This window comes from Homo sapiens, chromosome 11 (genome assembly GCF_000001405.40).
Source record: "Homo sapiens chromosome 11, GRCh38.p14 Primary Assembly".
Taxonomy (NCBI): Eukaryota; Metazoa; Chordata; class Mammalia; order Primates; family Hominidae; genus Homo; species Homo sapiens.
In genome coordinates, this window is record NC_000011.10 from 62,313,425 (window position 1) to 62,339,852 (window position 26,428).

General features: G+C 45.4%; 1 protein-coding gene and 1 pseudogene across 6 annotated transcripts in view, besides 3 other annotated features; both read left to right on the forward strand.

Moving 5' to 3' along the window:
- Positions 11,759–12,260: an enhancer, noted in NCBI's record as "H3K27ac hESC enhancer chr11:62092655-62093156 (GRCh37/hg19 assembly coordinates)". NCBI's record gives its function as "activates a minimal SCP1, AML or CMV promoter by ChIP-STARR-seq in primed H9 embryonic stem cells {active_cell/tissue: H9 hESC(primed)}" and the evidence as "EXISTENCE:reporter gene assay evidence [ECO:0000049][PMID:30033119]".
- Positions 13,081–13,740: an enhancer, noted in NCBI's record as "OCT4-NANOG-H3K27ac hESC enhancer chr11:62093977-62094636 (GRCh37/hg19 assembly coordinates)". NCBI's record gives its function as "activates a minimal SCP1, AML or CMV promoter by ChIP-STARR-seq in naive and primed H9 embryonic stem cells {active_cell/tissue: H9 hESC(naive and primed)}" and the evidence as "EXISTENCE:reporter gene assay evidence [ECO:0000049][PMID:30033119]".
- NPM1P35 (nucleophosmin 1 pseudogene 35) lies at positions 17,418–18,592 on the forward strand (annotated as a pseudogene).
- Positions 23,935–24,604: an enhancer, noted in NCBI's record as "H3K27ac-H3K4me1 hESC enhancer chr11:62104831-62105500 (GRCh37/hg19 assembly coordinates)". NCBI's record gives its function as "activates a minimal SCP1, AML or CMV promoter by ChIP-STARR-seq in primed H9 embryonic stem cells {active_cell/tissue: H9 hESC(primed)}" and the evidence as "EXISTENCE:reporter gene assay evidence [ECO:0000049][PMID:30033119]".
- Positions 24,024–26,428, forward strand: part of ASRGL1 (asparaginase and isoaspartyl peptidase 1) — a 63,984-nt gene continuing 61,579 nt past the window's right edge. For 4 of the 6 annotated variants that reach the window (XM_011545265.4, NM_025080.4, XM_047427631.1 and 1 more), the window contains exons 1-2: positions 24,024–24,150; positions 24,543–24,743. In XM_011545265.4, the coding sequence (XP_011543567.1) occupies positions 24,554–24,743 (190 nt within the window). In that variant the 5' untranslated portion in view covers positions 24,024–24,150; positions 24,543–24,553. Of the gene's footprint in view, positions 24,151–24,465; positions 24,744–26,428 lie in introns of all 6 variants that reach the window. The other 2 variants (NM_001083926.2, NM_001441217.1) reach the window with 1 other exon arrangement.

Here is a 26,428-nt window from a genome sequence, read left to right on the forward strand (position 1 = left end):
GTCCTCTACCGAAGTTTTCCCAACCTAATTTACAGAGATGATATTCACAAGGGTTATGTCTTTTGACCCTAAATTTTTATTTACCATACAAGCAAAATCATATTGATTGCTAGGTGGTTGGCTAAGTCCCCTTGGTAGCTAATTGGCTGAGTCCCTCCCACTAACCTTGAAACATGAATGATTTTACTTTATACCTCAACAAAAATACAAACTTCTGGGAATAGTCATCCTGGGAAGGCCAAGAGTAACCAGCTTTAGAAGGAAAAAACAGTGACCAAAGAAGGAACAGGACACTGTCCTCAGGCCACCCAGCTCATCTTCACCAGGTGAGGTCATGCAAACCATACCCCACCCCTCCCACACGTGGGACAGCATCTCAGAGAGAGAAGCAGGGGCAGGGTGCAGGCCAGCTGAAAGTAGAACAATTTTATCAAAAAGAGGGTGAACCCTGCCTAAAGGTGATTTGCTAATCAGATCCTAAGTTTTTAACTGGATTGGACATTTAGTGAAATGTTTTGTTTTGTTTTGTTTTTTGTAACTAGTAGGTAGGGGACTTAGGAGGAAGGCCAGACAAGTTACAATAAAAAGATTTTTAATTATACTTTTTCTATATTTCTAAGTTGTGATCTAGGTTAAATTTTTGCAACTTGTTACACTTACTAAGGAGCATTTCTGTCAAGGAAATCAAAGGGAAACATGACTTGGAAAAGAGCCTTCTGGCAAGAGTGAGGAAGTGGGAGACCAACTGGGGGCTGTTGCCAATGTAACTATAGATACTATATATATCCTATATATACATGCTATACTATATATTATATATACTATACTATTAGTATATATAATGGTATGTACACTATAGTATACAGAGTATATATGAGTGATAATATATTACTGTTTATACATAAAAATAATTATATATTAATTATGTAATAATATATTTGTATGATAGATTATTATATACATAATTATTAGTTATACTATTAGTATAACTATTAGTATAATAATACATTATATATAAAGATATATAGTTATATATTATATTATTATATATCATTATAATTACATAACTATATATACATAGCTAGTTATGTATATAATAATCTATCATACAAATATAACTAAATTATTACATAATTAATACATAATTATTGTTATGTATAAACAGTAATATATTATTACAGTTTTATATCTATATACTCAATAGTATATAGATACACACCACACACACACATACACACACGCACACATGCACATACACAAATGTATACACCCAGGTGTTTCTGGTGCTATCTCCATTTATTAATACTTTGGGTGGGAATATTCAGTCTGGAAAGATCAAGAGTAACCAGCTTCAGACGGAAAAGGCAGTGACCAAAGGAGACACAGGACACTGTGCTCAGGCCACCTATGGATATTTTTCCTTTAACAGAATTTGAATATTCTGGTTACACCTGCATTGGTATTTCAGGTGAAGCTGTTTCCACAGATCTTAGCCATTCCCTTGATGTTTCTGACCCAAGCACAGAGCTGTTTGTGGCTGGCTTGCAAAGTAAGGCAAGGACACAGTAGAAGTTTCTCCAACCCCAGCCCTTTCCCTCCAGCGGAAACCTTCGCAGATCCTCTTGGAGACTGGCCCAGCAGCAGGGTGTTGGGAGCCCCTTGACATTCTCTTGGTTGCTGGTACCTGGTCCCACCACGAGCACTGCAGTTGGAAAGCTGCAGAGGCAGGGGCCTTTCAGGCACCCAGAGGGCAAGGTTCTGCAGCTCACATCCCACTAACGGGGTCACTGATGGCTTCTTGGCACAGTAAGGGCAGCACATGGAGCTCCCCAGGGTGAGGGGCTGGACTTCGGTCATACTGGTCTTTGGTCTTGTCTTCACACCCTCTCCTTGAATCTCTCTCTCCCTCTGCCAGAAAAATTGCAGATCCCTTCAAGAATAATCTATGGAGCCTCCTTATCAAAAAACTCTCACACCTCAACATGATCTTTCCATGCTGAGTTCCCTTAATTTTCTGGCCTACAGACTCTTTACTGGGAAGGTTTTGGGAGAGGCAGCTTGCTCCCCTAAGGAGATGTTAAGAAGTTGACAGGGGCAATTTGAGCTGTGGTGAAAAGCACAGGCTCAGACATCCATTGACTCTTGATCCCAGACCCTTGCTGTGTCACCATGAACAAGTTACTCAACCTATCTAATCTTGATTTCCTCATTTGTAAAATAGAGGAAATAATACATACTTCATATAGTTGTTGTAAGGATCAGCTGAGATGTGCCTGGAAACTACCTATCACAGTTTCTGGCCCTTAGTAAACAGTAAATTACCGTTATAATTATGACTGCAGGGAGCCCTCTTCTCCCCATTCTTTCCAGATGCTTAGTGAGGACCACTGTGTGTAACAGAATCTTCCTGATGGGGACCTGTGGCCCATGTGAACCCTGTGAAGTCAGAACAAAGATCTAGAACCACTGCACTCGCCAATTCTTCCCAACCTCATACATTTGGGCACATATACTTGCAACCCACACTAGACTGAAAGTGTCTTGCAGAAATGTCATATTCCTTTTGTATCCTCCACAATGTCTACAAATCCCAGGGTTGGGCATGCTATTAATATTTGACAAATGCTCGTTGACGAATTGTTGGTAGTAGTACACTGGAAAGTAATTAGGATGAACAGTGCCCTATGATCATTGGAAAGCATCTGGCATCATGGAAAATTATTTAGTGCCTACCGTTCATCCATTTAGTAGAAATAGCGCCCTGCTTATAAATTAGAAACCCTAATTATCTTGATGGATGCCTCTTTTGCAGCCTCAGGTAGTTTGATTTTGCTTACTGTTAAGGAGGTGTTCAAATTTTTTAAAACAATTATTCAAATTGTTTTGCAAAGCCTGGCGAGCATCATAAAAGCTCTAGATCATAAATCATAAAGAAAAACAAGACAGAGGTAAAGTCGCAGGTGTGACCTTTGTTTTCAGTATTCTTTCCAATGAACAGCTTGTAACTGCCACGATGTCAAAGCCATGGCCGCCTTAGTTTTCATGTAAAGTATTTCCGCCTTTTTCCAGTCAATGAACACTGTCCACTATGGCCAGATTCTATACTAAACTCTGAGGCTATAACAGTGAAGAAGACGGATCGGATAAGGCCCCTGTCCTCCTGGAGTTCACAGTTTCATGGCCTTTGTGTTTGGGGGGTACTTGTGTCCTTCAAAGATGTGGTCCATTAACCTAGGGATTAGCACTTTGCAACATTCTGTGTGGTCACTTTTAGAGAGGCAGGTCCCAAAAGACAGGGCCCATGTGAGGTCCATGGTATGATGCCTATAATGTGCCACATGGGGGGTCGCCTCCTGCAGCCTCCAGCCTGGGAATAGATGAGGTGCAGAACCGAAAGGAAGATGGGATCTGAACAAAAGTCTGTGTCCACAGGAGACATGCAGGAGAAAGTGAATATCGAGTGAGTGAGAGAAACAAAAGTCAAAATGAGGCTGGGCGCAGTGGCTCACGCCTGGAATCCCAGCACTTTCGGAGGCTGAGGCAAGCAGATCACTGGAGGTCAGGAGTTCCAGACCAGCCTGACCAACATGGGGAAACCCCATCTCTACTAAAAATACAAAAACTAGCTGAGCGTGCCGGCGCATGCCTATAATCCCAGCTACTCAGGAGGCTGAGTCAAAAGAATCGCTTGAACCTGGGAGGCGGAGGTTGCAGTGAGCCACGATCATGTCACTGCGCTCCAGCCTGGGTGACAGAGACTCCATCTCAAAAAACAAAACAAACAAAAAAGTCAAAATGGATGCGTCTTCAGGAGGTGAATCAAAATCCACCCCTGCCTGTGCCAGGCCCCATGGATACACAAGACAGCCGGAGAGCCACACAGCTGACAATGCAGCAGGGGAGAGAAATCATAGACTCCAGCTACTCAGTTACTAATTTCAGCTGGGGAAGACTCTCCAAGGGAGAAATAGGGGTTCTATGAGCGCATCTTACAGGGACCTATCCTGGCCTGAAGGGACTGCTATATCCTTTCCCAGAAACCTAGACATAAAAGATGAAGTAAAATAAACATGATAGAAAAATGGACATGCGAGTGGGTAAAGAAAAACCAGAAATTCCGACTTAGCAACTGGGAACATGACGGTGCTGTTTATGAGGTGGGGAATCCTGGAGACAGAAAAGGTTTAGAGGAAGGATATTAAGTTTGGCTTGGGATATGCTGAGCTTGAGATGCCTAGAGGACATCAGAGAAGCCAAAGTGATCATTTAAATTGTTCCATAGAGGCTGGACGCGGTGGCTCACACCTGTAATCCCTCTTTGGGAGGCCGAGGCAGGTGGATCACCTGAGGTCAGGAGTTCGAAACCAGCCTGGCCAACATGGTGAAACCTCGTCTGCACTAAAAACACAAAAATTAGCCAGGTGTGGTGGTGCGTTCCTGTAATCCCAGCTACTCAGAGGCTGAGGCAGGAGAATCACTTGAACCCAGGAGATGGAGGCTGCAGTGAGCCGAGATCATGCCACTACACTCCACAATGGGTGACAGAGCAAGACTCAATCTCAAAAAAAAATTGTTCCATAGAACCTTCCAGTGGCTTGGCAGTGGAAGCCACATTTAAGATGGAAGCCACACTTAGTATAGAAGCCACACCTTTTTTTTTTTTTTTTTTTTTGAGACAGAGTCTGGCTTTGTCGCCCAGGCTGGAGTGCAGTGGCATGATCTTGGCTCACTGCAACCTCTGCCTCCCAGGTTCAAGTGATTCTCCTGCCTCAGCCTCCTGAGTAGCTGGGATTACAGGCACACACCATGATGCCCGGCTAATTTTTGTATTTTTAGTACAGACGGGGTTTCACTATGTTGGTCAGGCTGGTCTCAAACTCCCAACCTCGTGATCTGCCCGCCTCGGCCTCCCGAAGTGCTGGGATTACAGGCATGAGCCACCGTGCCCGGCCACGAAGCCACACTCTTTACCAAGGCTTTCGGGGTGGTGGACCTTACTGACTAGCACAGCCTCATCTCATGTTTCTCTCTCTCTTACTGTGGTCCACCCACAGCAACCTTCTCTCTCTTTCTTGAGCACACCAAGCCTGCTCCTCCTTGCCTGGACAGACTTACCTCTGGATTTTGCACAGCTGATTCTTTCTTACTATTCACATTTAAACCTAAACGTCCTCTCGTCAGAAAGAGCTTTCCTAACTATAAGAGGTATTCATATCCTATCACCCTGTTTTATTTTCTTCGAATGCCTTTTGCTCTCTGAAATTATCCCGTACACTCGTTTGTGTCTGTCTGTTGACACCCTAATTTTACCCAGAATGTAAGCCGGTCCATGTAGGTGGGGGGACCAACCCTGTCTTGTTCAATGATGTCCTGTAAGTACTTAAAACATGGCCTGGAACATAATGGAAGCTCAATAGCCATGGAATGAATGGATAAGATATTAAGGAACAAGTGATATATGTGGATTTGCAAGTGAGATAAAAGGTCTGACTACAGGTAAATACCTGGGAGTTGTCAGTGTACAGATAACAACTGAAGCCAGGGAAGTAGTGGGTCTAGGGAGAAAGATTAGAGTTAAAAGAAAAAAAAAAGCCAGTCTAGGCTGGAGCCCTGAAAAACACCCAATAGGTCAGGTGGGGCTTATAATGGAAACTGAGAAGGAAGATCCAGAGAAGGAGGGAGGAAGAGGCCTAAGACAGTGAGAGGCCACAGAGAAAGGAAGAGGAAATTTGGAGGACAGAGCGGTAAAAAGATTCAAATGCTATTATGAGACCAAGCAAGACAAGAATTACAAAGTGTATTTTAAATGTAGTGCCTTTTTAAAATTTTTTATTTTTAATTTTTGTGGGTACACAGTAGGTATATATATAATTTATGAGTTACATGAGATATTTTAATACAGGCATACAATGTATAATAATCACATCAGTGTAAATGGGGAATCCATCACCTCAAGCATTTACCCTTTGTGTTATAAACAATCCCATTATACTCTTTAATTATTTTTAAATGTACAACTGAATTATTATTGACTATAGTCACCCTGTTGGGCTATCAAATACTAGGTCTTATTTATTCTAACTATTTTTTGTACCCATTAACCATCCCCATTTCCTCCCACCACCACCCCCTACTACCCTCCCCAGCCTCTTGGAACCATCCTTCTACTCTCTATCTTTTCTTTTCTTTTTTTTTTTTTTTTTTTTTTTTGCTTTTGAGATGGAGTCTCACTCTTTCGCCAGGCTGGAGTGCAGTGGCACAATCTCAGCTCACTGCAATCACCGCCTCCCAAGTTCAAGTGATTCTCCTGCCTCAGCCTCCAGAGTAGCTGGGATTACAGGTACACACCACCACACCCAGTTAACTTTTGTATTTTTAGTAGAGACAGAGTTTCACCATGTTGGCCTGGATGGACTCAATCTCCTGACCTCGTGATCCACCTGTCTTGGCCTCCCAAAGTGCTGGGATTACAGGTGTGAGCCACCGCGCCCAACCTACTCTCTATCATTATGAGTTCAATCGTTTTAATTTTTAGCTTCCATAATTAAGTGAGAACATGCAAAGTTTGTCTTTCGGTGCCCGGCTTGTTTCACTTAACATAATGACCTCTAGTTCCACCTATGTTGCTGCAAATGGCAGGATCTCATTCTTTTTATGGCTGGATAATACTCCCTTGTGTATATGTACCACACTTTCTTTATCCATTTATCTTTGATAGACACTTAGGTTGCTAACAAATCTTGGCTATTGTGAATGGTGCTGCAGTAAACCTTGGAGTTAGATATCTCTTCAAAATCCTGATTTCCTTTCTCTTGGGTATACACTTAGCAATGGGATTGCTGGATCGTATGGTAGCTCTACTTTTAGTTTTTTGAGGAACCTCCAAACTGTTCTCCATAGTGGTTGTACTAATTTGCACTCCCACCAACAGTGTACAAGGGTTCTCTTTTCTCCACATCCTCCCCAGCATTTGTTATTGCCTGTCTTTTGGATAAAAGCCATCTTAACTAAGGTGAGGTGATATTTCATTGTAGTTTTGATTTGTATTTCTTGGATGATCAATGATGTTGAGCACCTTTTCATTTGCCTGTTTGCCATTTGTATGTCTTCTTTTGAGAAATGCCTATTCAGATCTTTGACCCACTTTTAATCAGATTATTATTATTTTTTCCTATAAAATTGTTTAAATGTAGCCAGGCACAGTGGCTCACACCTATAATCCCAGCACTTTGGGAGGCCAAGGCAGATGGATCACTTGAGGTCAGGAGTTCGAGATCAGCCTGGCCAACATGAAAAACCCCAACTCTACTAAAAATACAAAAATTAGCCGGGTGTAGTGGTGGGTGTCTGTAGTTCCAGCTACTCAGGAGGCTAAGGCGGGAGAATCGCTTGAACCCAGGAGGCGGAGGTTACAGTGAGCCAAGATCGCACCACTGCATTCCAGCCTGGGCGACAGTCTCAAAAAAAAAAAATTGTTTAAATGTAATGTTTGAGCAGACAGGTTGACCTTGGAGGGAAGAGTTTGGATGACAAGTGTGCTGGTGGCAGGAATGGAGTGGGGTGAGGAGTGAGTGGGTGGTGGGATGGGGACACAGGGAGAGAAGAAGTTTTTGGAGAGAAGATAACACAGTTGGCAGATTCTCTAGAGCCTATCAAGGCATTGCCTTGTGGGATGAAGTCATTATAAATTTGGGGTCTCAAAAAAACAATGGGCATAGGGATCATGCAAATTCCTGAATTTAGGCACAAAGCCTCAGCTGCCCACGTATAAAACAGGCCAGTGTGAAACTCCCACTTGCCCGTGCTTCTGAGGAGAGTGTCTGTTCATCTGAGGCTAAGGCAACACTGACCTTTATAGCTCCCACTGAAAGCTGATGGTTCTGGCTTTCGAGTCAGGGACCTGTGGTTATCAGCCCTGGGTAAACTTGACAAAAGGAGTGACGGGCAGAATTGCCTGGAGCAGTGATGAGAAAATCCGAAACCAAAAAGGGTATATAGGATGACTCCTCCGGGATACTTGGACATGCTCCCGGAGGCTCTGCAGTTAACCTGCCTATAGGAGGGGAGGAGCCTAGGATTCTGTTGCTGACACTCCAGCTTCTGTTGCATCCCCTCCCCACTTTTCCGAAAGGCACAGCAACTCCTTGGGTCATCGTACATTGGCAGGAGGAAGCTGGGTTTGCCATCAGAAAAAGAGGATGACCTCGGTTAACAAAAGTAAAACATTTGGGAGGCCAAGGCGGGTGGATCACCTGAAGTCAGGAGTTCGAGACCAGCCTGACCAACATGGTGAAACCCCATCGCTACTAAAAATACAAAATCAGCTGGACATGGTGGCACATGCCAGTAATCCCAGCTACTTGGGAAGCTGAGGTGGGAGAATTGCTTGAACCCGGGAGGCAGAGGTTGCAGTTAAGCCGAGATCGCACCATTGCACTCCAGCCTGGGCAACAAGAGCAAAATTCCATCTCACAAAGAAACACAAACAAAAACAAAAATAAAACAACAGGAATGCCAACAAGGAAAGGCAGCTCTGGGTCAGCAAGCACACCCTTCTTTGTCCAAAGGGCAGAACACAACACGAGCAGCAGAGAAGGAGCCCAGGATAACCTGGAGGAAGACATCAGCTGGTGGCTGGAAAGGCTGCTCCAGGGTGTGTCAGGCAAATTAAATGAACTCAGCCAAGACTATTTTATAAAATAATAATCATGTCCAATATATTATTCTATTCTACATCTCATAAAGTACTTTCACATACATTATTTCTTCTCATTAATCAATTGAAAGGAACATATTCTAGAGTGGCTCCTGGAAGAGAATGGTCTAGATTTATTTGAGCATAGGGAGGATAACAATGTTAGTCCAGCTCAGAAGAAGCAAGTGAGGCTGCCAGGGTCACCCCAGGCAGACACTCGGCACAGGAATTTCAGCACGGGCCCTTGACCCTAAGATGCACAGGAATGGAACACTCAGGCTTCATTTTAAGCTTTCCCTGCTTGTGAAGGTTAATTTCAGGTGTCAGCTTGACTGGATTAAGGGATACCCAGATAGCTGGTAAACCACTATCTGTGGGTGTGTCTGTGAGGGTGTATTCAGAAGAGGTTGGCATTTGAATCACTGGGAAGATCCACCCTCACCCAGTGTGGGCCCAATCAGCTGAGGGCCCACGTAGAACAGAAAGGCAGACAAAGGGTGAATTTGCTCTTGCTGTCTCTCTGCTGGAGCTGGGACACCCTTCTTCTCCTGCCCTAGGCAATAGGAACTTCAGGTTCTCTGGCCTTTGGACTCTGGAACATACATCAGCTGCCTCCCAGTTTCTCAGGCCTTCAGCCTCAGACTTCCATTTCACAATATCAACTTGTCTGGTTCTCAGGCCTTTGGGCTTGGACTGAGACACGCTTCAGGCTTCCCTGGTTCTCCAGCTTGCAGCTGGCCTGCCATGGGACTTCTCAGCCTCCATCCTCACATAAGCCAATTCCCCTAACAAATCCCCCTATATATTTATACAAACATATAGTTATATATAATCTCCTATTGGTTCTGTCTCTCTAGAGAACCCCAACTAATACACTGCTCTACACAGCTCTACAGTAATGGAGGTCTAAATGATAATCTAAGTAAAATGTTTGCTAACTACCTGCCATCTCTAATTAGCTACACCATTAGCTAGATCAAATAGCTAATCAACTAGCTAGACCAACATGCAAAGGAGAGAATCCTCCTCTCATTACACATACTTCTGGAAAGGCTAATAAGTGTAGAAGAAAGAAAAGTGTCAATCGCCTAACTCAGGATCAACAAACTTTCTGCAATGGGCCAGGAAGAAAATATGTGAGGCTTTGTAGGCCACCATCGTCTGTTCCAGCTACTCAACCCTGCCACTCTAGGGTGAAAGCAGCCAGAGACAATATGTAACAAACAAATGAGTGTCAACTAATGAGAAATAAGGGCTGGACATGGTGGCTCATGCCTGTAATCCCAACAATTTGGGAGGCTGAGGCTGGTGGATCATGAGGTCAGGAGATCGAGACCATCCTGGCCAACATGGTGAAACCCTGTCTCTACTAAAATACAAAAAATTAGCTGGGCATGGTGGTGCACGCCTGTAGTCCCAGCTACTCAAGAGGCTAAGGCAGGGAAATCACTTGAACCCAGGAGGCAGAGATTGCAGTGAGCCTAGATCATGCCACTGCACTCCAGCCTGAGGACAAAGCGAGACTCCGTCTCCCCCGACCAAAAAAAAAAAAAAAACCCTGCAGGGCAGCAAACAAGAGAGGAATTGCAATGCGGGAGACACAAATCTAGCAAGCAGCTAAATCATGTTCCCTCCAAGTGAGGTTGAGCAGGAGTTTTAGAGGTTTACTGTAAATTTACACAAGTGGGACAACTTAGCATGGTCTATGATTAATGGTGATTGATTGACAGCTTAGAATGTCTCTAGCTGATGATCAGCTTATGTTGGCACAGCTCTCTCCCCAGGAGATTTGTGATCAGGCCCAATATAAATAGGTTAAACTAAATGTACCTGCTTCTTCAGGATGTTTACAGTTTGGCCCAGTTCCACAGGTGACATTCTGTCTGGGTGTGTATAGGCCTGGGTCCAACTCTTCCTACCCACCCACCAACTTTTTAGATGCCTCTGACATAGCCATTTCCATCCTGGATTTCCTTTCATATAAATATGTTTGTTTCCCAAGAAGACTTTATTTCTGAACCCTGAAATTTGATTTCACATAATTTCCATGTGTCAGAAAGTACTGTTCTTCTTTTGATTTTTTTAACCATTTAAAAATATAAAATCCAGGGCCGGGCGCGGTGGCTCACGCCTGTAATCCCAGCACTTTGGGAGGCCGAGGCGGGTGGATCACAAGGTCAGGAGTTCGAGACCAGCCTGGCCAACCTGGTGAAACCCTGTCTTTACTAAAAATACAAAAAATATCTGGGCGTGGTGGCGGGCGCCTGTAATCCCAGCTACTCGGGAGGCTGAGGCAGGAGAATCACTTGAACCCAGGAGGCGAAGGTTGCAGTGAGCCGAGATCACGCCATTGCACTCCAGCCTGAGCGACAAGAGTGAAACTCCGTCAAAAAAACAAAAAACAAAACAAACAAACAAAAACGTGCAGAGGGCAGAGCAGAGGATGCATGCACGTGGAAAATGAGAATAACTCTCTTACCTACCTTCAGCAGTGCTCTAACAATTGCAGCAGATTATACCCCAGAGGTCGCAGGAGGAAAAGACTTAACCCTGAAGGCAGGCCAGCCGCTGGGAGAGCCAAGAAGAGGCAAAGCTTTACGTGCCCTCTAGCCCGCTGCCCACTTCCAGAGCCAGGTAAGTCAGTTCTCCTTCTGAGAAGGTGAGGACTGCCTCCTATGGCTAGATGAAGAGTGATTTCTATAAACAGCCCTGGCTCCGGGCAATGTGGGTACCGTCATGACCATCACAAATATGTTTACATTTGCTAAGATCGCAAACAATCTAAACAACCACCGATAGCGCTGAGACAGAATGGTGTCCAAGATATACTACTGAGTGAGAAGAGGAAATTACAGGTCACCCAGGACATTACGCAAGGCGCACACTATTTGTATCAAAGAAGGGTGGCCACAGACGGAGGAGGCTCCCACCACAGGCCAACTTCATCATTGCAAAGCCTCCGCCAGCCGATCCCTGGGGAAACAGCGCCTCCTTGGGGCCAGAGCGCTGTATCTGCACCCCACACCTCCGCATTGGAGGTGTCAGGATGGCTGAGGCCGCCTTGGAGGGTGGCTGCTTCATCTCACCGACCCCTGGTGAAGACGCTAAGAAATGATGGTGCTCTAAAAGAAGTCTCTTTGGCTGTTTCGTTTATCCCATCAGAAAAGAACAGAGATTCAAATCTTGCTATCACCATATTGCCTTTTCATCATCAGGGTTAGCCACAGCACAAGCTATTGAGAAGCTGCTTGGCAAAACTCCTGTGCCCAAGAGGATTGTGTCTTATGGGCTTCAGACACAATCTCTGCCAAGGAGAACCTGCAGTCTAGGATGAGGAAACAGTTATAGAGAGTAGATAGATAAAAAGATATAAGTATTTACAAATCCATAGTATAGGGTTGGTAATAAATTACTAGAACAAACAGGAACTGATTTATTACTTACATCTTAGTTCTTTCCAAAAAAAATTGTGAGTTACAATATGAAACTGCAGAGGATGTCAAATCATTTAGGGACAGGGAGAGCACGAGGCTTGGAGAAGGAAGGACAGAATTCCATCCCTGGCCCTCTCACTTCACACTTGGTATGACTCTTCACTGCCCTTTGACCTGGAGTTTTGGGGGCACCAAACTCTAGGTGAAAACCTCTCTATACAATCAACTCAAACTGAGGGAAGAGAGAGACCCTCTCATATTGTTTTATACTGTTTTATACTCAGTACCTGTTTTAAGAAAAAATGACAAGGAAGTAAAACCAAAGACAGGCAGCCCGGCGCCAGGCCCAAAACCAGTCCTGGGCCTGCCTGGCCTAAACCCAGTAGTTAAAAATCAACTCACAACTTAGAAACTGATGTTATTCATAGATTCCAGACATTGTATAGAAGAACACTGTGACACTCCCTGCCCTGTTCTCTTTCTCTCTGACCACCGGTGCATGCAGCCCCTGTCATGTACCACCTGCTTGCTCAAATCAATCACGACCCTTTCATGTGAAATCTTTAGTGTTGTGAGCCCTTAAAAGGGACAGAAATTGTGCATCGGGGAGCTCAGATTTTAAGGCAGTAGCTTGCCGATGCTCCCAGCTGAATAAAGCCCTTCCTTCTACTACTCGGTATCTAAGAGGTTTTGTCTGCGGCTCGTCCTGCTACAAAACCTCTTGGTATGATACTCAAGACTAATATTAAAACTGATATTAATCATCCTCCAGGAACTAAGTGGGGTAAGTCAGGAAGTCAGATGTTTATGAAATTATCTCTAAAACAAAAATGACTAGTAAAAGGTTTGAGAACTAGGTGATGAGATAATCTGTACAACAAACCCCTATGACACAAGTTTACTTGTGTGACAAACCTGCAGTTGTACCCCTGAACTTAAAATAAAAGTTAAAAACAAAAAAGGTACATTAGAACTAGCCCTTTAAAATCTGAACATGATTTTTTAAATATATTAAGTACTTTGAGAATTTTACTTAGAAGGTTCTTTGTGGGGAAAAGAGAGATGAGACTGTTACTGTGTCTATGGAGAAAGAAGTAGACATAAGAGACTCCATTTTGTTCTGTACTAAGAAAAATTCTTCTGCCTTGAGATGCTGTTAATCTGTAACCCTACCCCCAACCCTGTGCTCCCTGAAACATGTGCTGTGTCAACTCAAGGTTAAATGGATTAAGGGCTGTGCAGGGTGTGCTTTGTTAAACAAATGCTTGAAGGCAGCACGCTTGTTAAGAGTCATCACCACTCCCTAATCTCAAGTACCCAGGGACACAATACACTGCGGAAGGCCACAGGGACCTCTGCCTAGGAAGGCCAGGTATTGTCCAAGGTTTCTTTCCACGTGATAGTCTGAAATATGGCCTCATGGGAAGGGAAAGACCTGACCGTACCCCAGCCTGACACCTGTAAAGCGTCTGTGCTGAGGAGGATTAGTAAAAGAGGAAGGCCTCTTTGCAGTTGAGATAAGAGGAAGGCATCTGTCTCCAGCTCGTCCCTGGGCAATGGAATGTCTCGGTGTAAAACCCAATTGTATATTCCATCTACTGAGATAGGAGAAAACTGCCTTAGGGCTGGAGTTGGCACATGCTGGCAGCAATACTGCTCTTTAAGGCATTGAGATGTTTATGTATACGCACATCAAAAGCACAGCACTTTTTTCTTTACCTTGTTTATGATGCAGAGACATCTGTTCACAGGTTTTCCTGCTGACCTTCTCTCCACTATTACCCTATTGTCCTGCCACATTCCCCTCTCCAAGAAATGCCCAATAATGATCAATAAATACTAAGGGAACTCAGAGACTGGTGCCAGCGCGGGTCCTCCGTATGCTGAGTGCCAGTTCCCTGGGCCCACTTTTCTTTCTCTATACTTTGTCTCTGTGTCTCTTTCTTTTCTCAAGTCTTTCATTCCACCCGATGAGAAACACCAACAGGTGTGGAGGGGCAGGCCACCCTTTCAGTTCTTCACTTAATCCAAGCACGTTTTTCTGAAGAAAACAGCACAGGCAACATCATAGCAAAATAGGCGAATGAAAAGTGACAGTTCTCTGGAAGAGAACCATCATTATCAAGAAAATTTGGGCCGGGCACAGCAGCTCACGCCTGTAATCCCAACACTTTGGGAGGCCACGGCGGGCGGAGGCCAAGGCGGGCGGGTCACCTGAGATAAGGAGTTCAAGACCAGCCTGGCCAACATGGCGAAACTCTGTCTCCGCTAAAAAATACAAAAATTAGTTGGGTGTGGTGGCAGGGGCCTGTAATCTCAGCTACTCAGGAGGCTGAGGCAGGAGAATCACTTGAACCCGGGACGCGGAGGTTGCAGTGAGCTGAGATGGCGCCACTGCACTCCAGCCTGGGCAACAGAGTAAGACTCCAACTCAAAAAAAAAAAAAAGACAGAGAGAGAGAAAAAAAAAGAAAATTTGAATTCATATGAATTACTTTATTACACTTAATGTTTTATATGATTAAAGAAGCTTTTTTAAAATAATTCTTTAGAGAATCCTATATAATCAGTGTAGACAGAATGATAGAAAGTCTCCTTTTGCACATGTTGTCATTTGTTTCATACTAATTATTGCCAGGCACAAAGTGTGAGGATTTATAGTCCAAGCTATATAGAAATGTCATTATTAATAAATAATGCTTCACAATAACAACAACAAAAGAATGACTAGTGAAGTCTATAACAACAGTTATGTGGAAAGTGCTGGGCCAGGCACGGTGGCTCATGCCTGTAATTCCAGCACTTGGGAGGCTGAGACGCATGGATCACCTGAGGTCAGGAGTTCCAGACCAGCCTGCCCAACATAGTGAAACCCCATCTCTATTAAAACTATAAAAATTAGCCAGGCGTGGTGGCGGGCGCCTGTAGTCCCAGCTACTCAAGAGGGTGAGGCAGGAGAATGGCTTGAACCTGGGAGGGGGAGGTTGCAGCGATCCAAGATTGTGCCACTGCACTCCAGCCTGGGCAACAAAAGCGAAACTCCATCTCAAAAAAAAAAAAAAAAAAGAAAGGAAGGAAGTACTGAAAAAAGCGCTAAAGGAGCTATGATTTTGACTCAGTAGGAACTGAGTTAGGCCTCTTGGAACAGATGAACTATGATCTTGGGAGAAAGCGGTTCCCAGCAAAGTAAAGGCCTAGAGGAGAAGCCACACATGGTCCCTCAGAAGAATGGATGTCAAATCAGTGTGGCAAGAACATAAAGTACACAGAGGGGAGAGGGAGGCAATGGAAGAAAAGTATGGAAAGGTACTTAAGGCTAAACCTAGGAGGGCTCTGAGCGCTCCTTTTTTATATGAGTTTTATTCTAGAGATAGTCAGAAATTATAGAAGGCTTTCGAACAAAATTAGCACACGCTCAGGCATGTGCTAAAGCATAGAACAATTATTCTGTTAGGGAGTCACTTGAGGACATTCTCCAGCAAAATGATGAAGTAAATCAAAAATGTAAGATTCATGTGTTGGCTGGGCATGGTGGCTCACACCTGTAATCCCAGCACTTTGGGAGACCAAAGCGGATAGATCACAAAGTCAGGAGTTCAAGATCAGCCTGACCAACAAGGTGAAACCCCCATCTCTACTAAAAATACAAAAATTAGCCGGGAATGGTGGCATGTACCTGTAACCCCAGCTACTCAGGAGGCTGAGGCAGGAGAATGGCTTGAGCCCAGGAGGCAGAGGTTGCAGTGAGCCAAGATCACACCACTGCACTCTGGCCTGGGCCACAGAGTGGGACTCCATCTCAAAAAAAACAAAAACAACAAAAAAATTCGTGTGTTAGTCAGGGTTCCCAGAGAAACAGAACCAATAGGATATATACATAGATACATAAGAGATTTATTATGGGAATGGGCTCACGTGATTGTGGAAGCTGAGAAATCCCTCCATATGCCCTCTTCAAGCTGGAGAACCAATCCAGAAGGTGCTGGATCCAACTGTTAAGAAAAATGAGGAGAGGTCTTCAGGAGAGAGTAGTCAACAGACCTGGGGAACAATCAATAATATGAACATGGAAAGAAAAGAGAAGGAATCCAAGGAAAGGAGAGGACCCTGGCCATTTTCTACTACACTCGGGAATGGCAACAAATTAAAGACCTGCTTTGGGAGGCCAAGGCGGGCAGATTGCTTTGAGCTCACGAGTTCAAGACCAGCCTGGGCAGCATGGCAAAACTCTATCCCTACAAAAAACACAAAAATTAGCCGGGTGTGATGGTGTGCACCTGTAGTCCCAGGTACTCAGGAGGCTGGGGTGGGAGGATGGCTTGAACCCAGGAGGCGGAGGTTGCATTGAGCCGTGATCACGCCACTGTGCTCCAGTCTGGGTGATAGAGCCAAACCTTGTCTCAAAAAAAAAAAAAAAAAATTAAAGATCTGATAAGGCAGATAATGAAAGAAGAAAAGAAACATTGCACACTTACAAAGAATCAGGTGAAAAGAAAGAAATTTTTTAAAAAAGAAAAAAAATGAACAGAACCCAGGGATGGGGAAACACTACGCCCAACAAAAACTATCATCATCATGGATGATCTGAATCTGCAGTGCATGCATTTTACACAGTCTCAATAGTGCAAACACAAGTTATTTATCTCTGACTTCTAGAGTCCACCTATGGCCCAATCACATAAGACTTAACTGTACAGTAGTTCCATATCCAAGGAGGAAAGAGTTCCATATAAAGGGGAAAGAAATGAAGGGAAGGAAACAACACCAATATCCTGCTCTTACAATGTGGAAAGGCAAGAGATATTGTTTCTAGTTGATAGAACTAGAAATTAAGAGTAAGTTTATTACTTAAATTTCCAATGATAGGCCGGGCACAGTGGCTCATGCCTGTAATCCCAGCACTGTGGGAGGCCAAGGCGGGTGGATCATGTGGTCAGGAGATTGAGACAATCCTGGCTAACACGGTGAAACCCCGTCTCTACTAAAAATACAAAAATTAGCTACAGGCACTGAGGTGCTGAGGCCTCCCAAAGCAGCTACAGGGAGGCTGAGGCAGAAGAATCGCTTGAACCCAGGAGGAGGAGGTTGCAGTGAGCCAAGATCGTGCCACTGCACTCCAGCCTTGGTGACACAGCAAGATTCCGTCTCAAAAAAAAAAAAAAAAAAAAGAATAAAGCAGAAAAGGAGAAGCAGTAAATGAGCCAATCTGCATCTAGCCAACCAAGAAGTCAGTAAGTAATGTTAAATCAGGGAATTGTGGGTGTATACATTTATCTGTAAAAGATGTGGTGCAGCTTTTCCCTGGTGTCATTCCAACCTGTGTGGCTGTTCTCTTGAGCAGTGGTCGTTTATCTCCATCCACATTCTCTCCCACCTAAGTGCGTGCCACCACCCGATGGAAGATTCGATGGACATGGACATGAGCCCCCTGAGACCCCAGAACTATCTTTTCAGTTGTGAACTTAAAGGCCAACAAAGATGATCACTTTAAGGTGGATAATGATGAAGATGAGCACCAGCTATCTTTAAGAATGGTCAGTTTAGGGCTGGTGCAAAGGATGAATGGCACACTGTTGAAGCAGAGGCAATGAATTACGAAGGCAGTCCAATTAAAGTAACACTGGCAACTTTGAAAATGTCTGTACAGCCAATGGTTTCCCTTGGGGGCTTTGAAATAACACCACCAGTGTCTTACGGTTGACGTGTGGCTTAGGGCTAGGGCATATTAGTGGACAGCACTTAGTAGCTGTGGAGGAAGATGCAAGAAAAGATGAAGAGGAGGAGGATGTGAAACTCTTAAGTGTATCTGGAAAGCGATCAGCCCCTGGAGGTGGTAGCAAGGTTCCACAGAAAAAAGTAAAACTTGCTGCCGATGAAGATGATGATTATGAAGATGATGATGATGATGAAGATGATGATGATGATGATGATTTTGATGATAAGGAAACCAAAGAAAAAGCACCAGTGAAGCAATCTATATGAGATACTCCAGCCAAAAATGCACAAAAGTCAAATCAGAATGGAAAAGACTCAAAGCCATCGTCAACACCAAGATCAAAAAGACAAGAATCCTTCAAAAAACAGGAAAAAACTCCTAAAATACCAAAAGGACCTAGTTCTGTAGAAGACGTTAAAGCAAACATGCAAGCAAGGATAGAAAAAGGTGGTTCTCTTCCCAAAGTGGAAGCCAAGTTCATCAATTATGTGAAGAACTGCTTCCGGATGACTGCTATTCAAGATCTCTGACAGTGGAGGAAGTCTCTTTAAGAAAATAGTCTAAACAGTTTGTTAAAAATTTTCCATCTTATTTCATTTTGGTAACAGTTGATATCTGGCTGTCCTTTTTGTAATGCAGAGTGAGAACTTTCCCTACCGTGTTTGATAAATGTTGTCCAGGTTCCATTGCCAAGAATGTGTTGTTGAAAATGTCTGTTTAGTTTTTAAAGATGGAACTCCACCCTTTGCTTGGTTTTAAGTAGGTATGGAATGTTATGATAGGACTAAGTAGTAGCGGTGGTCAGACATGGAAATGGTGGGGAGACAAAAACATACATGTGAAATAAAATTCAGTATTTTAATAAAGTAAAAAAAGAGAGAGAGAGAGAGATGTGGTGCAATCTCCCAGAAGATATAACCAAAAGTTGTAAAGTGGCTGCCCCTAGGTAGAAATGCCAGCACTGGGAGGTGGGGGGAGTAGGGAGTGGTGATGGGGGAGAGAAGACTATACCTTTCATTTTAAATTATTTTGTGCCATTTCATTTTTTAACTATATGCAATGGAATAAAATTATGTGCTTTTCCTCTCTCCTGTATTTCTCTTCATATCATGACTCTCCTCCCAATGAGACTTCCAGACTTCAGTTTTGTGTGTGTGGTTTTTTTGTTTTGTTTTGTTTTTGAGACAGGGTCCAACTCTGTCACCCAGGTTGGAGCCCAGTGGTGTGATCTCAGCTCATGCAACCTCTACCTCCCAGACTCAAGCAATCCTCCCACCTCAGCCTCCTGAATAGCTGGAATTACAGGTGTATGCCACCACGTCCGGCTAATTTTTTTGTGTTTTTGGTAGAGATGGGGTTTTGCCAGGTTGCCCAGGCTGGTCTTGAACTCCTGAGGTCAGGAAATCCACCTGCCTCTGTTTCCCAAAGTGCTGGGATTACAGGCATGAACCACTATGTCCAGCCATTGATTTTGAGTTTAAAAGAGACAGCCCAGATATAAATCAAAATATTTATAGGAATCCAAATTCAAGCACCCATACATGTTCCACCCTAATGAAACGGGAAAAGTTCCTTATCCCCCTTGCAGGGCATGCAACAGGGGGAGTGGCTCGCTTCATCAGTGCCCCACTGCTCAAACCTCCAGGGGAAGCATACAGATGGGCAGATTGTGGGGCTCTGACCCCTCGGCAGCACCTGGGGTGAATGCTTACAGCTCCCGAAGCCCCAGTGGGCGTGTGTTACAGGGTGCTCTTTTAGTTTTGCCATCCACAGGCAGCTTGTGTTAATCACCTCTATTAGACCTTCTGCCTTATCACAAGGACAGAGGGCTTTCTGTATCCCTGGGTTCCTGCCTTGGTGTACCAGAAGTATCGGATCACACATGGGCTTAGAGAATGAGTGCAAGGTTTTTTACTGAGGAGTAGCTCTCAGCGAGGCCAGAAGGGGGATGGAGTGGAAAGGTGGTTTTCCCTGCCGAGCCGGGCTGCCCAGTGGCCAGGCTCTCCTCCGACTGCCCCGGCCAAACTCCACCATGGCTCCACTGCTCGATGGCCTGCCGGCATCTGTTGGCACCTGTCAGTGTGCTCTTCCACCAACGTGCTCCTCTCGGCGTCCAGCCGCTTGTGTGCCTGCCCCCTAAGATCTTGAGGTGTTTTTTTGTTTTGTTTTGTTTTGTTTTGTTTTGTTTTGTTTTTGAGATGGAGTCTCGCTCTGTCATTCAGGCTGGAGTGCATTGGCATGATCTCAGCTCACTGCAACCTCCACCTCCCGGGTTCAAGCATCCTCCTGCCTCAGCCTCTTGAATAGCTGGGATTACAGGCACGTGCCACCACCCCCGGCTAATTTTTTGTCTTTTTAGTAGAGACAGAGTTTCACCGTGGTAGCCAGGATGGTCTCGATCTCCTGACCTCATGATCCACCCGCCTCGGCCTCCCAAAGTGCTGGGATTTCAGACTTGAGCCACCGCGCGCGGCTGGGTCTCGAGGTTTTTATGGGCACAGGATGGGGGCGTGGTGGGCCAGAGTGGTCTTGGAAAATGCAACATTTAGGCCTGAAGGCAGGAGTGCCTGTCCTCACCTAGGTCCATGGGCACAGGCCCAGGGGTGGAGCCCTAGCCAGGGACCATGCCCTTCTCTACCCAGCACTTCCCTGCCCCCATCCCATATCACTAACTGAATTACAATTCTGTGGTCAGAGAGGAGAAGAAAGTTAGAAAGAAGTGCTATTGCACAAAATGCTGATGTGGGCTTCCTAAAAACAGCCTCAGGCCCCGTTCCTGAACAAATTCATGGGTACTAAATCTCCTAAATAAGCTCAGGGATCTCAGAGTTGAAACGTATGTGTCCCGCTTCTTGTTTGAAAGCGAAGCTCAAGATAGGAAGGTGGCAGGCTCAAGATACTGTTACACATTCTAGAATTTGGAGGGAGTCTCACAGATTCCCATCCTGCCCCCAGTGGGGTCAGCCAAAAGCCTTTTCCTCATGTAGCTGAGACTGGTGGGGATGGGAAGTTGCTAGGCAGTAAGAACGTAGTAAAGGCAGCCTGCCAGTTCCCCAGTGGACCTTCAGAAAATGTTAGTTGCGGCCAGGTGTAGTGGCTCACACCTGTAATCCCAGCACTTTGGGAGGCCAAGGTGGGCAAATCGCTTGAGGTCAGGAGTTCGAGACCAGCGTAGCCAAGATGTTGAAATCCCATCCCTACTAAAAATACAAAAATTAGCTGGGCGTGGTGGTGCATGCCTGTAATCCCAGATACTTGGGTGGCTGAAGCAGGAGAATCATGTCTGAGCCTCGGGAGATGGAGATTATAGTCAGCCAAGATCGCACCACTATACTCCAGCCTGGGCAACAGAGCGAGACTCCGTCTCAAAGAAGAAAGAAAGAAAGGAAAGAAAGGGAAGGAAGGGAAGGAAAGGAAGGAAATGTTAGTTGCTTCTTTCTTTTTTTCTTCTCTTCCTCCCTCCCACCCCCATTTCTTCTTCGTCAATCTCTCTAATATGCCTCCTTCATTTCTGACCCAGAAATGCCCAGTCCCTGCCCAGTCCCTCCTTTTCTGGTCCCACCTCCTCTCCCCAACTCTGGCATTCCCTAACCCAACCCTCCTCCTCCTAGAACATCCAGAGCCACTGTAGTTAGAATCACTTCCTTGGGGCTCTAGTCAACCTCCCCAGTCACACAAATGGGTTACTCCTCCCTTCAAAAATCCCTCTAAAATGATAGTAAACAATCTTAAAAAGAATACTACCCACAAAGACAGGAAGAATGGGAGAGATGACAATGGCAGGTAAAAAAGGTCACTTTGGAAGATGAATAACAAATGGCAGATTAAAGGAAGTTGTAATCTACTTGAGAGGTGAATCCATTTGTTCTGGAGAACGCTTGAGAGACTCAGGGCTTAGACACACAGGAATCTCAAAGATGGGGAGGCAGGAGTGGCAGGTGTTCCCAGTTGTCTCTCCAATAGCCTGTCACCCTTCCTTCTTGCCAAGAGACCTTGATTTTATCCAGGGCCATGATGTACCCTGCTAAAATAAAAACTCAGACTCTCTTGCCACTAGGGGCAGCCCCCCAATCCAGTTCTGGCCAATAAAAGTCCACTTGGAGGACTTCTAGGAAAGCTAGAGAGCTTTCCTGAATTAAAGGAACAAAGGGGAGCTGGCAAAAGCCTTCTTCCCTTTGCCCTTCCCCATTCCTTCTGCCCCAATAGTGATCAAGGTGCCTAGGAGCACCATAAATGTGAAAGCCACATGCTGAAGGGAAGAGAAGGAGATGGGACATCTGTGTCACCTTGGAGCTGCTGCACCAGCCTGGGCAGCAACCACTAGATGTCTTGTTGTTGTTGTTGTTGTTGTTGTTGTTATTGTTGTTTTCAAATCAACAGTTATCTGGTTAAACCACTGTGGTCACGTTTCGTCAGGGACAGTTGAATACAATCCTTAATCCATAAAATGATTGTTGATGGAACATCGTCTACAGAGGAGTTAGCCAGATTCCTTCTCCTATCCCACAGAGCCGGACAAAAAGATGCTTCCTCTTTCCTCCTCAAAGACCAGAAGTTTATTTTCTAGAGAATTTATCTAAGAGACTTTGGATTGGGATGGGGAATACGAAGCCCATCAGAGAAGTAGATAAACGCATGAGGCTGAGATGGGAGGATCAAATGGAAACCAACATTCTACCTGCTTGGGCCACCAGCCACCTTCCCCAGCCTCAGCCAGATCACTGAATTCCAGATCAATCAGGAAAAACAGTAGAGATGGGGTTTGAGTTAGGGCTAGGCATAGGGTAGGGTTCAGGTTCCTATAAATAGCTGAAACCAAATGATGGTGAGCTGTATTATGATGACACAACTAGGCTCACGACCAGTTGAGACGTGCTAAAATAACCCTCTTCCAAGAGGTGAGTGTGGGAGACAGAATAACGGCCCTCAAAGGTGTCACATCCGAATCTCCACCTGTGAACACTCCTCACATGGCAAAAGGGACTTTGCAGATGAGAATAGAAATTGTAAGAAAGGGAGATTATCCTGGGTTATCTGGGTGGGCCCAATGTCATCCCAAGGGACTTCCTTTAAGAAGGAGGCAGGAGAGTCAGAGTCAGAAAAGAAAATCGTGATGATGGTGACAGAGAGAGAAGTGACGTAGCAGCAGAAACAGGCCAGAGGGAGAGAGAGTTAAAGATGCTAGGCTGTTGGCTTTGGCAATGGAGGATGAGGCCATGAGCCAAGGATACAGGCAGCTTGTAGAAGCAAGAAAAGACAGATTCTCTTCTGGAGCTTCCCGAAGGAACTCAACCCTGCAGACCCAGTTTGAATTTCTGACCACCAGAACTGTAAGATAATGTGTGTTGTTTGAAGCCAATAAATTTGTGGTAATCTCTAACAATAGGTCACTAGAAAGGGAATGACTGATCCTTAGTGGGGTGCCAGGGAGAAGGCTTTGCAGGAGGGGTTCATTTAAACTGGGCCTTAAGGCAGGAAACGAAGGTAAAACAGGAGTAAAGGGAATTCCCAAGAGTGGTAAAATATGTTATCAGTTGTGGGTAAACAAGAAGGGAAAGGACTCTCCTATCCACAGGAGATCAATCACAGTTTGCCTGGATCTGTCCCTGTTTATGCCCATTGTCCCAGTATAATTTTTTTTTCTTTTGATTCGGAGTTTCACTCTTGTTGCCCAGGCTGGAGTGCAATGGCGCGATTTCCACTCACCGCAACCTCCGCCTCCCAGGTTCAAACGATTCTCGTGCCTTAGCCTCCAGAGTAGCTGGGATTACAGGCATGCGCCACCACGCCCAGCTAATTTTGTGTTTTTAGTAGGGACAGGGTTTCTCCGTGTTGGTCAGGCTGGTCTCGAACTCCCGACCTCAGGTGATCCGTCCGCCTCGGCCTCTCAAAGTGCTGGGATTACAAGGCATGAGCCACTGCGCACAGCCTAGCGTTGCTTTTCAATCTGCAATTACAAAATCGTGGCATGCCACTTCACGCTTCTCGCCACCAACCCAACCACCCAGCCCCTAGCCTGGTCAGGAGCAGGAGGTTCCCCGCGTGCCACCAGGAAGCTCGGGCCGGCCAAGAGCGTAGACTCTTGAGAGGAGTGAGACAGGTGCGCGCCAGCCGGCCTTCGGGGCTTTATGGGAACTGGGCCGTGCGGCGGTCCCGCCCTCGTGCGCAGGCGCAGAACCGTTGTGACCAGAGCGGTTGCGGGCTGAGCGGTTTCGAGCCGGCGTCGGGGAGCGGCGGTACCGGGCGGCTGCGGGGCTGGCTCGACCCAGCTTGAGGTCTCGGCGTCCGCGTCCTGCGGTGCCCTGGGTAAGTCGGCGGCCCTCCCGGAGCAGCCGCCCGAGACGCGGGAGGGCGAATGAAATAAACGAAAATAGACATTTTCCCGAAGGCGAAATAGACATCCTCCTTCGGCGCCGGGGCTTGGAGGCGGGCGGCGGTGGGCGCGGGTTAACGTCCCCGGGGAAACTGAGACCCCCAGCAGGTCCGGGCCGGGGGCGGAGAGGAACGCGGGAGGGCGCCGGGCCCCTGGGCTTTTCGTACCAAGCTCGACCGAGCCGCCCCTACCCACCCCCAGCTGCGAACCCAGCCGTTCAGAACAGAGACTGGGCATTGTCCCCACAGGGTCTCCCGAGGACCTTGTACCCGCGCGGCTTCCTTGGGCTGGCTTTGGACGACGCTTTCGCCTTCCTGCTGCCTAGGATCCGCCGACATGAATCCCATCGTAGTGGTCCACGGCGGCGGAGCCGGTCCCATCTCCAAGGATCGGAAGGAGCGAGTGCACCAGGGCATGGTCAGAGCCGCCACCGTGGGCTACGGCATCCTCCGGGAGGGCGGGAGCGCCGTGGATGCCGTAGAGGGAGCTGTCGTCGCCCTGGAAGACGATCCCGAGTTCAACGCAGGTAAATGTGCCTTTCAGCTAGTAAATAATGTGAGTCAGGTCAAGCTCCTTCTTCAGAATAAATAGAACCTACATAGTGTTAGGGAATCTAATGAGCTTTGGGGTGAAACTAAGTATGTAAAAAAGAAACAATATTTAATTTTTCTACCTGTGCTGAAAAGAGTCAAACGCTAAAATATTTGTAGAGATTTATACTGAGGCAAATATGAGTGACCAATGGCCTCTGATACAGCTCTTGGGAAATCCTGAGAATGTGTGCTTCTGGAGAGACATAAGATGTCAATCAGTACATACAAGACATACATTGGTTCCATCTGGAGAGGTGAGACTACTGGGGGAGGGGGAGTGGTTTCCAGGTCATAGTTAAGATTCAAAGATTTTCTGATGAACAATTGATTTAAAGTTTTGTCCAAACACCTGGAATCCACAGAAGGGAATGTCTGGATTATATAAGGACTTGTGGCTGCAGATAGAATTAATAGAAGGCGGTTTAGCACGGTGGCTCACGCCTGTAATCCCAGCACTTTGGGAGGCCAAGGCGGGTGGATCACCTGAGGTCAGGAGTTCGAGACCAGCCTGGCTAACAGGTGAAAAGCCACCTCTACTAAAAATACAAAAGAAAAAAAAAAAAAGCCAGGCGTGGTGCTAGGAGCCTGTAACCCCAGCTACTCGGGAGGCCGAGGCAGGAGAATAGCTTGAACCTGAGAGGCAGAGGTTGCAGTGAGCCGAGATCACTCCAGCCTGGGCGACAGAGCGAGACTATCTCAAAAAAAAAAAAAAAAACTGAAAAAAGAAGGGAATGTCTGCATTAAGATAAGAGGTTGAGGAGACCAAGATTTCCCTTAGGCAGAGGAAGTCTCCAGGTAGCAGTCTATTGAGAGAATAAATTGTAAATGTTTCTTATCAGAGTTGATTCTCTCCTGAATCAGGAAAAAGGCCTAGAAAAGGAAGGGGATTCTCTTCAGAATGTAGATTTTCCCCACAAGAGATAGCTTTAGCTTTGCAGGACTATTTCAAGATATGGCGAAGAAACGTAATTTGGGGTAAAATACTTCACTTTCAGGGCTTGCTATCTGTCATGTGATGTCATACTAGAGTCCCGCTGGAATTTGGTATCTTATTGCTACAAAGTCTGCTTTGTCAGTCTTAAGATCTGTTTTAATGTTAGTGCTGGTCAGCTGGGCCTGAATTCCAAAAGGGAGGAGGGAATAATGAGGCATGTCCTACCTCCCCCGACAAGGTTCCAAAGTTTTCAGGTTAACTTTGGAGTGCAGAGTGTATTCCTTTGTGTTTCGCTTCTTTCACTCAGTCCACCCTTTTTTGGAATACTAATCATTATAGCTAATATGAGTATCTACCATGTATCAGGCAGTGGTCTAAGAAATTTGCTTGATTTATTGAATCTGAACATTAAATGAGTTGATCATGTAACTCTCTTAAGTTGGTTAACTTGTGTTAAACTAACTCAAGTTAACTCATAATGAACATTAAATGATTCACTTATGAGTTAATCACTTAAACTCAGTTGAGTTAAATGAGTTAGGTATAAGTTAGGCATAATTATTATCCTCATTTCTCAGATCAGACTAAGGCATAAACAGATTAACTTGGTGGAAGACATTCATCTCTTTGTTTTAAAATGGCAAACCTAAGATCTAGGCTAGAGATTGAAATACTTCCTGGAAT